This window comes from Homo sapiens, chromosome 12 (genome assembly GCF_000001405.40).
Source record: "Homo sapiens chromosome 12, GRCh38.p14 Primary Assembly".
NCBI lineage: Eukaryota > Metazoa > Chordata > Mammalia > Primates > Hominidae > Homo > Homo sapiens.
The window spans coordinates 18,459,523-18,473,439 of record NC_000012.12 but is presented as its reverse complement, the minus strand read 5'-3'; the positions used below and the strand labels follow the sequence as shown (position 1 = coordinate 18,473,439).

The 13,917-nt window shown below is 34.8% G+C and overlaps 1 protein-coding gene across 16 annotated transcripts in view; it reads right to left on the bottom strand.

Moving 5' to 3' along the window:
* PIK3C2G (phosphatidylinositol-4-phosphate 3-kinase catalytic subunit type 2 gamma) overlaps positions 1–13,917 on the bottom strand; it is a 483,857-nt gene that overhangs the window by 253,378 nt on the left and 216,562 nt on the right. The window contains exon 20 of one of the 16 annotated variants that reach the window (XM_017019478.3): positions 117–4,602. The exons of the other annotated variants lie outside the window; for them this stretch is intronic. Within the exon in view, the coding sequence (XP_016874967.1) occupies position 4,602 (1 nt within the window). The 3' untranslated portion in view covers positions 117–4,601. Of the gene's footprint in view, positions 1–116; positions 4,603–13,917 lie in introns of those variants that run through there. 16 annotated transcript variants of the gene reach the window in all.

Below are 13,917 nucleotides of genomic sequence, written 5' to 3'. Positions count from 1 at the left end.
AAGGTCTACAGACTGGTCCAGATACACAGGGCATTTTGTCTTTTGATAAGACACATGTGCTATCACTTCTAGATTAAAGTTTGCACAGTATCAGAGAGGATAATTATTTTTCAGTGTTTTTCCAAGCATGTGAAATTAAACAACAACAATAACAAAAACAAACCTACAAACATAATCTGTAAATCAGACCTGGACTCTGGAAAGATCTATGGAAATAATCTAGTTTAGAAGTTTCTTTAAAACATTGTAAAAGCAAAATCTTACTTAGAACCATCTTCCTTCCTCAACATGCACCCCCAGGATAAAAAACGATTTGCCCTACTGAGAGGGCAGTAGGCAGCCTAGACCACTGCTTGTTTTGGTTTCCCCTTTCACACTCTGAGAGAGCTCTAATGAACCTTGTGATTTGGAGAAACACATTTTTAAAAAACATCAAAATAGGCCATGCGCGACGGCTCACGCCTGTAATCCTAGTACTTTTGGAAGGTGAGGTGGGTGGATTACCAGAGGTCAGGAGTTTGTGACCAGCCTGGCCAACATGGTGAAACCGCCTCTCTACTAAAAATACAAAAATTAGCTGGGCGTGGTGGCGGGTGCCTGTCATCCCAGCTACTCGGGAAGCTTAGGTGGGAGAATTGCTTGAACCCAGGAGGTGGAAGTTGCGGTGAGCCAAGATCACACCACTGTACTCCAGCCTGGGTGACAGAGTGAGACTTTGTCTCCAAATAATAATAATAAAAATATTGGAATAGATAAACTTTTCTATTTTTAGAGGGGCAACAATTGAAGCCAAGAGAGAAAAAATTATTTGCTGTAGTTCAGGCAAGTATTTTATTTATTCAATGAATGTATATAATACTAAATGCCTACACAAACCCTGACAATACAGCGAAGTGACTAAGACTTTACTGATCATGAGGGTGATCGTGATGACCAGAGTTCATGTGGTCACAGAGCTTACATTATAGTTGGGAGTAGGGAGAGGGAGACAGTAAACATACAAAAATGAATAAGCAGACAAGTTAAAAATGTGATATAACATGATTGGGACAGGACTTTTAGGTAGCTGATAAGTACAGCTAGTTAAAGAACGTCTTTGGACACAAATCCAGAGTCCAAAAAATACTAATAAAATATTTATAGATGTTTTCTTTCTAAGATGTGATGATTTTAACATAAAGATATGTTAAGCAAAAGTGAAAGAATTATAAATGTATCATTATGATCACTTCTTGAATTAATTGAATTTCTGCTTAATCTGTTTCTTCTTTTCCTGTTTTTATACATTTGAACATATTTTTGAATCAAGAAAAGTAGAAAGTCCTTTCAAATTTGAAGATACAAAGAAATTGAATTTAGTTTCCATTTTGGATAATTTAGGTGACTGAGAAAGTTCAGTGTAGTAGTTTAAAATAATAGAACCAAATTTCTCACAGCCTACTAAGAGTATTCCATTCTGATTTTTGTAATGCAGTATCTAATTTGATATAAATGGAATCTATTATGAATCTACAGATCTTTCATTATTAATTAATATCCAAAGTTTAATAAATATTGATTATTGACTATGGGTAACATGTTACTAAGCATTATGAGAAAGCCATTGAAGCATAAAAATTTCTAGCCCCAGAGGCACTCACACAACTTAATTGGAAGAAATAAAACATACTTAAATACACAAGATCTTACATTATAAGGATCAAATAATAGTATAAATTTTTTTGGTACAGAAAATCAGTTAGGAAGAAATTACCATTGTTCAGAATAATTGTAGAAAGTTCACAGGGGAATGTGCTCTGTGAATTGAATCCTAAAAAAATAAGATATGGATGGGTAGGTGTTGGAAAAGAAATAAGTAGTAAGGAAGTTTCCAGAGATAAGACTGTCATAAGCCAAGGCTTTGTGATGAGAACAAGCAAGAATTATTCAGGCAACAGTTACCTGAAAAATTGGACAAGAGCAGAAAGTTAATGGTGAGGATTAGTGAAAAGGTTACAAAGATAGATTTGTAATAGATTTGGAAGGTCTTAAATACCTAAGCCAAAAGGTAGATTTGTTCTATAGGTAGCACCGGGGAGAGCAGTATATATACATTCAAGATTTTTGAGTAGAGAGGAGATGTTGAATTCATGTAGGTTGAGATTCCTCTAATCCCGAATGCCCATTTTGTACATGAGAAGACTAAGGTCCCTAGCAGTAATTGTCTTGTCTGAGGTAAGGCAACTGGTCCTTCTGGAGCATCGCTTTCCTTCCCCTGGCATCTTTATGGCATACCAGAAAGTCTGTCAAAATGAGTACAAGTTTTTTCATTTGTTTCTTTTCAGATAATTGCATTGCTGAGGGTGACTCTGGTACATTGGAGGGAAGAAAAATAGTTTAGAGTAAGTCTGATTCGATGCTTAGGGCATCATAAAGGTCTAAGTTAACGTTTCTTAACTTTTTAAAATTGAATCTGTCTTTGGATATATAAAATTAATCTCATTCCCTTTAATTCTTTTGGAAACTTTGAAATAAAGTAAATTAGTTTGATGATAAATAAAACATTATAATAAAACATTATAATAAAACGTTATAATATTTAATTTTGATTTTTGAAACTACACATTCTCCTGTTGATGTGAACTATCTCCATCTTTCCTCCCTTCTGTTGACATTGAGAACCACTGACATGAACATGGGTGGTGGCTGGAAGGAAGGAAGAGTTGCAAGGGATTTTTTGAGGAATGAACCGTGTGGCTTACAGAACTTGGGGACCAGTTATGAAGCTGAGAGACGAGGTGGCAAGGATACATCCTAGGCTCTAGTTTCCAAAGAGTATTCCTTCAAAGACAGTCAATAGGTCAAATAGGTTTGAGAAAAGCTACAAAAATTGAATTGTTCTAAAGCACAGGAGTTTTCAGCATCTTCACATTTTAAAGTGCACAACTTTCTATGGTTGGAACAAAGCATTCAGCCCTTTGCAGATTTATTTGACCACTAAGCCCTAACCGCATGGGGCTGTGGTTTCATGGAAGAAATGTTTGGGATATGCATCTCTAAGTTATTAGCAAGTCTCTACTTGAAAGCTCTCTGACCAAGTATTAGAGACCCTGGACCCTGCGTCTTCCTACCTTGAACTGGTATCCTGGCTTGAAGACTTTTTCTGCTAACGGGCAGCCTTGAAAAATATTCTGGTTGGCCTTGACTAACTCAACCCAAATGCTGGTCTAGATCTAGATCAGTTATAATCTTAACTGCTTCTTTGCCAGCCACATACCTTCACTCATGATACTATTATTATAAATAATATCTCCCAAATTGTTTACTATATTATGCCTTAAATTGGCAGTCTATCACCCACTGTGGTCAGAAGCAGAAGGATGTGTGGAGTAAAAGAGGAGATATAATAGCAAAATGTGATAAAGAAATAAAGTATACTGAAGTTTAACTCTCAGGTAAACTTTAGATATGACTCTAAAGCCTATGACAAAGTTGGTAATACCAGTCTCAGAAAGCCATAAAACCCAAATGAAAAAAAAAAAAAAGAGTAGCAGGTGGCTGCATTTTGTTTTACCACACTTGACAAGCTTTAAACAATTAGTGAAGATAGCTAGGTAATAAGAGGGTGCTGATATCTGGTATTAGAGTAACCAGTGTGTGTAATAAGCTTTTTTTTTTTTTTAAAGAGAGACTTCACAGGTGAATTAAGCATACATTCATCTTTTGTGGAGAAAAATAAAATGTAATATCAAAAGATAATATAAGAAACCAAATGTGGAGGGAAGAGAAGTGGAGGGGAGAGAGAAAGAATAATTTGAGGAGTGGAAGAAATTTGGGGAAATTAGTTGTAAGAAAATATTCAGAGGGGCTAAGATAAGCATCCGTAGGACAAAAGTCAGAGTAGTATATTTAATAGTTTAAATAAACTTCAACTACAATTTGAAAAATGATTACAAGTATAGGATAATTTGAGCATATTCAGCATGTCTTTGAAAAGGTCATAGTTTTAAATAAGCAATTTTACTGCCATTAATTACCAAGTTTATAAAAGTATTTCCAAGAAAACATTTTCCCCCCAGCAGGGGTTCACTCGTTTCTTTCCTGTAAGAAATAATCATTTCCATTTTAAGCAGAGTCGAAAGCTTTGTTGCACTGAAATCAAAGAAGCTATAAACTGCTTTGTAGGTAAAAGCCTCCTTTTCAGAAATGGGTCTCTCAGGCAACTCCAAATTAGAAGCAATAGTTTAGAGATTGAGGGTGACAGAGGAGCTGCCAGTCACACTGACGTAGGAAGCAAATTTAACTCTGATTTGGAAATAAAGATTGAAAATACTATACAATGGCTTTGTCTAATTAGCTGATTGAAGCAATCTGGGTATATGATCAAGGAATGTGTGTAATAATTTCTAGAGACCCTTTTGCTGCAAAGATGGATTATGATGTTATAATTTCAGAGGAATAAAATCATGTTGGTCTTTTTCTTCTCCCTAAGATATATTTTAGTCATTGGCTTGTTTTGTGCATTACTCACCATTAACCAACAAAATTAAGCTGCTCAGTTTCACATCAATGGTTTGACTCATTTTCTGGTCATTAAGCACATGCTTCTTCCTGTAGTCTCTTCTTCACAGCAATAAGGATAGGATTAAAATATTTTTTTAAAAAAGTAATTCACAGAGGCACTTACAGTCATTATTTTTTATGAAATTCATTCCTTGAGCAACCAATTTTGAATCATAAATGGCTGGAAATTATTTTTTAATCACAGAATATTACTGCTTAAAAATCATGAGCTACAACAATGAATCACAATGTGGTATTTAGAGTCAATAAAGGGAGAAGTCACAGTAACTAGTTATTCCCTGTAGCTTTATAAATAATGATCTTAAACTGAGTTTAAGAAACTGTGTCAGTCAGATCAACTGAATAATAGAATATAAGGATATTCAAGAATATCCTCTTAAGCATTTAAAGTATCTGACCATGAATTTGAAGATGATTCCGTAGGCAAGAATGCTGAAGGCAAGAAGGAAGAATACTTAGCAGTTGTGAGGTGGTGAATAGAGTATGTCAGGAGTAGTTAAAAGAAAAGTCCTTGCAAGAGGGTGGCCACCAGAACATTTGATCCTGTGATGTGTCAGTGGGAATTCTGCATTGGAATGGATTCTTTAACCAAGGAGATGAACAGAGTTGGAGCTCTGGACCAGCAATCTCAGTTCTTGTGAGAGTAAACAAAAAAATTGCAGACTAACTCCAGAATGCAAGCTTAAAGCAAAGTTAATTGAAGCATAGAAATATACTCTCAGAGGGAGAGCAGACTTATTTTTGTGAAGTGAGATCAGCACCTCTTTACAAAACTTGAGGTCCTTTTATGGGTTTCTGGGGAGCAGTTGAGGTTTGGGCTGTGTTTGAGTGACAGGATGATGTCATTTGATTGGCAGTTTATGTTTATGTAGCTAAAATTAAACTGTGCATATTTTTACCTATAATTTGTTTTAAAACAATGCCCACTCAGGGGAGCAAAAACCACATGTAAATTTTATTATAATAATGGTATCATGAGCCTAGGGTCAATTCCAAGATAGAGCTTTAGGTTATTGGGCATGTGCTACTTTGGGGGATTTCCACTTGTGCTCTAGTTTCTCTTTCTATAAGATGTGCTGGATACAGTCTCCACCAAAAACTCCATCTGTTAGGGTGGAGTTAGGGTGGTTCCAGAGCTGAACTTAGGTGGGCCAGATGCAGTTTTAGAGATGGCTTTTCTGCTCTCTTCTCTTACCCCTTCCCAGCTGCTAATGTCTATCTCACTACCTAACATGAGGAGCATATTTCTGTGGATTCCCAGGGAAGGACCAAATTTATCAAAAGTGAAATGTTAATCAAGATCCTTGTCAGGTAAATCTTGTCTTACATTGGTTCTTGATTCAGGTCTACTTTGCTTTACATAGTTGAAAAGTGTCTGAAAAAAAAAAAACCTGTAAATAAAATTTTGTAAAACAAACTCTTTTAAATGTTCTGGCTGAGGAGAGCATTCCAAGTACCAAGAGGGAAACCAATTGTAGATAAAAATTTGAAAAAAGAAATATTACCCTTTGCATGCTTGCTTTGTGGTTTTGGAGGTTAACATTTTGTGTGTTGGGTTTCTTTCCAGAATAATACACCTATACCTGGAATGATTCTAAGAGTAGGAGGAGTAGAATCAATTCTCTGAAGCTGTGTCTGTATATTTAATATTGATTTGTCAGCTTTGAGCAAACTGAGATAGTTCTAACTTGTTTGATTGAATTAATGAGGCTGTTCCATTAACAGTATCAAATTATTTGTGCATGGCTTCCTATCATTGAGCGTTTCAAGCCTAATACACTATGAATGACAATAGTAAAGTTATTTAGAATTTATTCTTCTAAAAAATGGTAAATTCCAAAAGTGAACTCAATAAAAATAGCAATTAAAGCTGAAAATTAAGAGTCCTGTTGATTATGTTTTGTTTTTAAGAAATGCACTATTGCATTTTCATATTAGTTCTACTAAATTAGAAACATTCCAAGTGAAAAAAGAAGTTATTAATTCTGTTTGTGTCAAATGTTATTACTTTGTTTGTGTGTGATTGAATTAGTTATTAGCAACAGATGAAGGTTAGAGAAGGGTAATGGTGATTATCTGACCTTAGAGTCATCTTAAGAGGACTTTCTCCTGTTTGTGCTAAAGTAAAGTGGTTTGCTATTGACTTTTTCCCTATGTGCTATTTATTGAACCTTTCGAGCTTCTCTAAATAAATCATCCATCCAACTAGTCATTATGCCATCTGACAAATGTTTAAGCTTTTTGAAGGCACTCACTAAAAATATTCCTTAGAATAGACTTATCTGATTAAATGTGTAACAAATGTTTTAAACTTATGTAAAGCAATTATATGAATAAAATTAACTTTAAAATGTATATATTATTGTGTGGTGTAAAACTTCCTTTTAAAAAGGGTTCTACAAATAAGGAAGTTTGAAAATCAATACTTTAATACAAAGTCTGAAGATGTTCTGAGTTGAAAGCAGAAATTAGAGTATTTCAATATAGAATGTGATAATGTTGAGAACATTATTCCAGTTTGCTCTATAAATCAGAGTCAGTAGCAACAAAATAAGAAAGAATTAGATCCGTAAAAACTTGAGCAGTTGTAATTATCAGACATACACAGAAAATAGTGATACCTAATACATTTAAACAACTTTTTAAAGAAGTAAGGGGGAATAAAAAAGATGAATAAGAGCAAGACACTATACTAACAGAATAAATAATAAAAATAACTTTCAGTAATAAAAATACATAATTAAAATAAATTTAGAACTATCTCTTGTTCTATGTATAATATATACACACATGCAAATACACACACACGCACATAAATACACATATACACACAGTAGAATATTAAAAATAGCTGAGGAGAGAACAGGAATAAAATTTTTAAAAAATTATCTAGAATCTAGTGTAGGAAGATAAAAAAAGAAGTATGTAGAATAACAATAAAAAAGACAGGTAAAATAGAGCGAGTAGATCTAATATATGGGATTCCAGAAGCAGAACAGGGAAATAATGAAAGAGACAGTATCCCAAGCAATAAAAGTTGAGAAATTTTCAGAACTTTAGAATGTTAATGAAAAACACTTATCTTCAAAGTCCAAAAGCCCAACTTCCATGCAGAATAAATAAAAACAAGTTGACATTCAAACACATCTAGACACAAAGAAGTCTTAAAAATGGCCAGAAGAAAAGACTATCCAAAAAGAAACAAGTAGAATGATGAATGATTTCTCAACAGCAACAGTTGAAGTCAAAAGATCATAGAATATCTCCAAATTACTGAAAGGAAACAACAGCCAACCTAGAGTTGTATATTCACTAAACATATCTTTCAAAAATGAATATGAACTAAAGTTGTTTTAGAAAATAAAAAGGGCCAGAGTTTGCAACAACACCCTTCCACTAAGAAGCCTTTTCAGGTAGAAAGAAAGTGATTCTAGATGAAAAGACTAAAATGCAAGAAGAAATGATGGACAAAGAAAGCAAAACCTATAAATATTTACTAAATAAACAGCTACTAATGACATATTGTAAAGCTAAATATACAGTAAAATAGAACTCTGATACCTAACACCAATAACATATAAAGTAGGAAACAAGTTGTTTGGGTTGTACTAAATGTCACTAAGATGGAAACACACATAAAGTACGCTAAATTCATTAAGAAGGAAGTTTTCACAGAGTGTAGTTCCAATAAGAACTTCCAAAAGGTTTTTGTATGTTTTTTGACTGAGGTATTCAAAGGGCTGTAACAATTCTTTGAATGAATGACTAGGTGAAGAAAGTTTCTTATTTTTCAGTATTAGATTCTGATAAATTAAGTGTAGATGTTACAATTTCTAATACAGCTTTGGTAGATTAGAGAGTTTACAAATGTCAAACTAGTCAAGGAGGAAATGGAATAAAAAATCCTTTAAAATAAGATAACAAAGGAAAGGGTAAAGAAACAGAAAATGAAGGCAATTAGAAAAAACAAAATACAATGATAGAAATAAATCCAAAAATATCAGTACTCACAATAAATATTCATGGCATCCAAAGTAGAAGAGATAAATTGTGATGCATTTATACTACAGAGTACAATAAACTAGTGAAAACTAACAAACTAGAATTTACAAACAAAAACATGCGTGAATGTCAAGATAATTTTGCCCACACAAAATTTGCAGAAGACACATACAATTCTATTTATGCAGGGTTAAAAACACATAAAACTAAATAATATATTTTTGTAAGGGTGTAAACATTAGTGATAAGGTCATACAAAAAAAGTGAATTGGAATAATTAAAGTCATTTCTTCTTCTGATGAGAAAGATTAAATGAATATGATTGGCATAGGTCATATAGGAGTTGTCAAAGTTCCTATTTTGATGCCTCTTAAACTTGGTAGTGAATTCATGGCAGTTTGTTGTATTGTCATTTACAATTTAGACCTATTGCTACAGTCTGAATATTGTATTTCCCCCAAATGCATATGCTGAAACCTAATGTTTAATGCAATTGTGTTGAGAGTAGGGACTTTGGGAAGTGATTAGGTCATGAGGCCTCCTAACTCATGAATGGGATTCATGCCCTTATAAAAGAGATTTGAGGGAGCCTGTTTTCTCTTTCCACCACGTGAGGACACATACAAGGTACCATCTATGAGGAAAAGGTGCTCACCAGACACTAAATCTGCTAGCGTTGATCTTGGACTTTTAAAATAACAGTACTTTAGGGCATATGAGGCCAGCTTTACACTTGAGGCAGCCCCTTTTCAAATTTCTTTCATTCACTAAAGTCAGACAATTTTTCACTCCACAAATCCACAATTTATGATTTGTTAGTACAGATCATTCTGGGGAAGGTAATAATAGAATTCAGTACACAGCGAAGTGTAATGATCTGAGATCAGGGCTTTGATAGGCTGGGATGTGAAGAAGAGGAAAGGACACTGAATATCTGGGAGGAAGTGAGACCAAGTAAAGAGCAGAGCGGAGGAGTGAAGGGCCTGTTTGATCTTCATAGATCTGGCTATTACCAGCTCTAAGGCCGTCAACAAACTCATTTATGGATAATATAAAGGGATTTGGAGGAGGGATTTGGAGGCTCTTCAAGTCTCTCTGGCCTCCAGTTTCCTCAATTGTAAAATGTGAGTCTAGGTCATGAAGACATTTGATGTCTCTCCCATTTCTTACATTCTATGCTGTGTGATTACATGAACACAAAGCTGTCTTAATTGCCTTGGTTTGCACCAGAGAATAAATGCAGATAAACTACCCGTGCTCATTAAATTCCATTCAAATTATGAACACCTGCATTAGAAACACGACCATCATATAATCGCTGATGCAGTCCACTGGTGATTAATTAGGAAGTATTATTCCTCTTGTGTAAATGTTTAACAGGGATCCTCATGTTGCTTATGCTGCGTTTATCTATGGGAGGGAAAACCTGGATTGAGGCATTAAAGGTGAAAGATTTCTTTATGGCAGAGAGGAGTCTAACAATTTATATTTTCAGAATTTTACTCAGCTGCTGAGCTACTCATTGTCAAAGGGAGGTAATGCTTCAGTTTCTTGCTGCCTTATATAATTTCCATTAGATATGTTACTAAAATTGGTAAGCTCTACTATAAGTATGCATGAAAATCAAATAGTGAAATAGCCCATTCTATATGTTATAAAATTTTGGTACGTAGGATATACCATGACAATGAATAACTAAAGCAAATCTGATGACTCTGAAACAATAACAGAAGTCAGAATCAGATCACAGTAATTAATGCTGATGATAGTGACTATTAACAATGGAGATAAAATCAAATATATCCTTATTAATTACTGAATTATCCCATGATTTATAGAAAAACTCTATTTTTAAGTGTATCCAATAAAGGCTATAGTATTCTTTTCAAAGAATGATGCTATGTGAAAAGAGCATTTTATAAATTATAGCACTTATTTTTTTTAAAATGTTTGTTTGCAAACCATTGAAAAGAATGCAATGCTGGATAATGTAATTTTACTACTAATAAAGAGAGTAGATTATATTGTTGGTAAGCAAGTTAATCTTTAGGAAGCAGCCAATATTATGTGTTGAAATGAGGCCAATTTAATCAGCGAGCAGAAATTCCTGAGTCAGAAACCCAACTTGCCAAAAAACTGACATTACTTGGAATAAAACCAGCGAGTCCACATTTAAAACTTCCTCTCTTTTAAACTTGGCCCTAACTTTTAGATTCTCTTGCAGCCTAACAACAACAACAAAAATGCAGTTGTTTCATTTAGCTTTCCCATGGGCACTGGCCCAGATTTCAGAGTCATCCATGCTTTTTGAGTTACCTTCTGTCAATAGTCTACAAAAAAGGGCCTGAACTAAGATAGTCGAGATAATGCAAACAGAAGGGAATAAGAGAGAAATGGACTGCTTACTTGATTTCACTCTGGTTTATCATAATGTCAGATATAATGTGCATGTAATACCCTTAAGGGAAAACCACATTTTTTTTTGTATGGTGCTCTGAAGTGCATTAGCTATATCTTTTATAAAAGGGTTGTTTTTTATTCTGCGTAGTATCTGTGAATAGCCAATATTTTGTAGACCCTTTATACTTTAATATTGGAATTAAATTTCTTCAGCCGTTTGTAAGGATTAGCTAACAGACTGTGGATTAAAGTAAAGGCTACCCAAGGAAGAAATGAAAGTAACTTGCTATGGTAAACTGAATAATGCGCCCACTCCTCCACTCATAATGTCTGCATTCTAATTCTTGGACCTGTCCGTATGTTACTTACACGATAAAGGAGACTTGTAGATGTGACTAAGTAAGGATTTTGAGATGGGGAGATTTTCCTGGGTGGACCCAATGTCATCACAAGCATCCTTATAAGAGGGAGGCAGATGGGTCAGAGGGAAGAGAAGATGTGACAACAGAAGCAGAGGTCAGAGTGATGCTATTGCTGGAAGGACATGAGCCAAGGAATGTGGGCAGTCTCTTGAAGCTGGAAGAGGCAAGTGCCTTAGTTCACTCAGTCTGCTATAACAAAATACCATGCACTGGGTAGCTTATAAACAACAGAAATTTGTTTTTCACAGTTCTGAGTCTGTGGAGTCCAAGGTCAAGGTGCCAGCAGATTCTGTGTCTGGCCTGCTTCTGGTTCACAGATGGCATCTTTTAGCTGTGGCCTCACATAGTGGAAAGGGCTATTTAGCTTTCTGGAGCTTCTTTTATAAAGCAACTAATTTCAATTATCTCAACAATTAGACACTATTAACAAACCAAGTTAGAATACAGATGTTGGTGGAGATGCAGGAAACAGCTGGTCTTATTTATTGCTAATGGAAGTGTAAATCCTTACAACCTTAATAAAAGGCAATTTGGCAATGTAGATCAAAGTAAGTAGAATATTCTCATGTGTATTCTCTGTTCTATCAATTCCACCCTATGTAAATAGTCCAAAGAAATAACTAAGGACATATGCAAGTGTTTAACTACAAAGAAGTTCATCTCAATGGGAATATACAGTCACAGGAAAATACTGGAAACAATATTTTTGTCCAACTTTTGTTTGAATGTCCAACAACAGGGGTTTGGTTAACTATAACATAATAAATTATAATGTAATAAGTCAATAAATGATGTTAACTAACTATATAGTACTGGTAAGTTGCAAAAATGACGTTATGAAAATATGCTACTTACTTTTTAGAAAGATGCTGAAGGTAGGCTGTATTTTTTAAATAAAGTGAGGTATATCACAATATCTATAATGCACCTTTTTCACTATATATATAAAATACCACGCAGATTATATACATACATACACATAAACATACAGTTTTGAAGAATATTTACCACTGAGGTACACTAAAGGCTAACACTTCTATATCACAACTAGGTTCCGGAATTTGTTTTGAGCATTTTACGTGTATTAACTCATTTGATCCTTACAGTAAACTAGAAAAGTAAGTATTAATATTAGCATTCATTTTACAGCTGAGGAAAGCAGACCCCAGAAAGTGTAAGGTGATGTAAATAATGAGTGAGAGATCTGGGATTTTACCCTAATACGGTGTCCAGGATCTGCATGCCTAATCCCTAGGCAATACTACTGCCTCTCTCAACAGGGCCTATCAAATATTTTATTTGATATGTATGCTAATCTGCGTTTTCTAATTTTCATATAGCAACAATAAAAAATAGCTAAGATGTACTGAGTGATTTAATTATTCTAGGCAGTGTGCTAAGTGCTATATATATATATATATATATATATGAATATGATGTCAATCTTTTTATTTATATTTATTTATTTATTTATTTTTTGAGACGGAGTCTTGCTCTGTCACCCAGGCTGGAGTGCAGTGGCGCCATCTCAGCTCACTGCAACCTCTGCCTCCCGGGTTCAAGCGACTCTCCTGTCTCAGCCTCCTGAGTAGCTGGGATTACAGGCGCGTGCCACCACACCTGGCTAATTTTTTTGTATTTTTAGTAGAGCCGGTGTTTCACCATATTGGCCAGGCTGTTCTCAAACTCCTGACCTCGTGATCCGTCCTCCTTGGCCTTCCAAAGTACTGAGATTACAGGAGTGAGCCACCGCACCTGGACAATTAGTTTTAATTAAAACCTACAAAACAATGCTTTTAAACATACTTTTTTGCATATTAAGTAACTGAGTCTCAGAGAGGTTTAGAAACATTTTCATAATCATACAATTATTAAGTGTCAGATTCAAATTTGTATTTACCTCAGTCCAGGGTCATTATTCTTAAACACGATATCACTCTGCCTTAATAAGTATAACATGTAGAAAAAAGTAATTAAGAAAAAAGAAGGGCTGGGTGCGATGGCTCACGCCTGTAATCCCAGCACTTTGGGAGGCCGAGGCGGGCATCTTACTTGAGGTCAGGAGTTTGAGACCAGCCTGGTCAACATAGTGAAACCCCGTCTCTACTAAAAATATACAAAAATTAGACAGACGTGGTGGCAGGTGCCTGTAGTCTCAGCTACTTGGGAGGCTGAGGCAGGAGAATCACTTGAACCCCGTGAGGCAGAGGTTGCAGTGAGCCGAGATTGGGCCACTGCACTCCAGTTTGGATGACACAGCTAGACTCTAGTCTTAGTTTCAGAGGGCTTTAGTATAGCATTTGATGTAGTATAATAACAGTGATTCTCTGTACATCACAGACTTGGTTAATATTGAGTCTGTTTCATTAAAGTGTCCATTCAATTTAGGCATAGGTTAAGCATGCAACAGATTCAATATAAATTTCACTGTAACTAGTGTATTTCCAATATATAATCCAAATAGTGGAATTTGAATTTAATTGTTCCTAACAGGAAAGATGCCAACTACATAACATAAAGTTGTCTACAC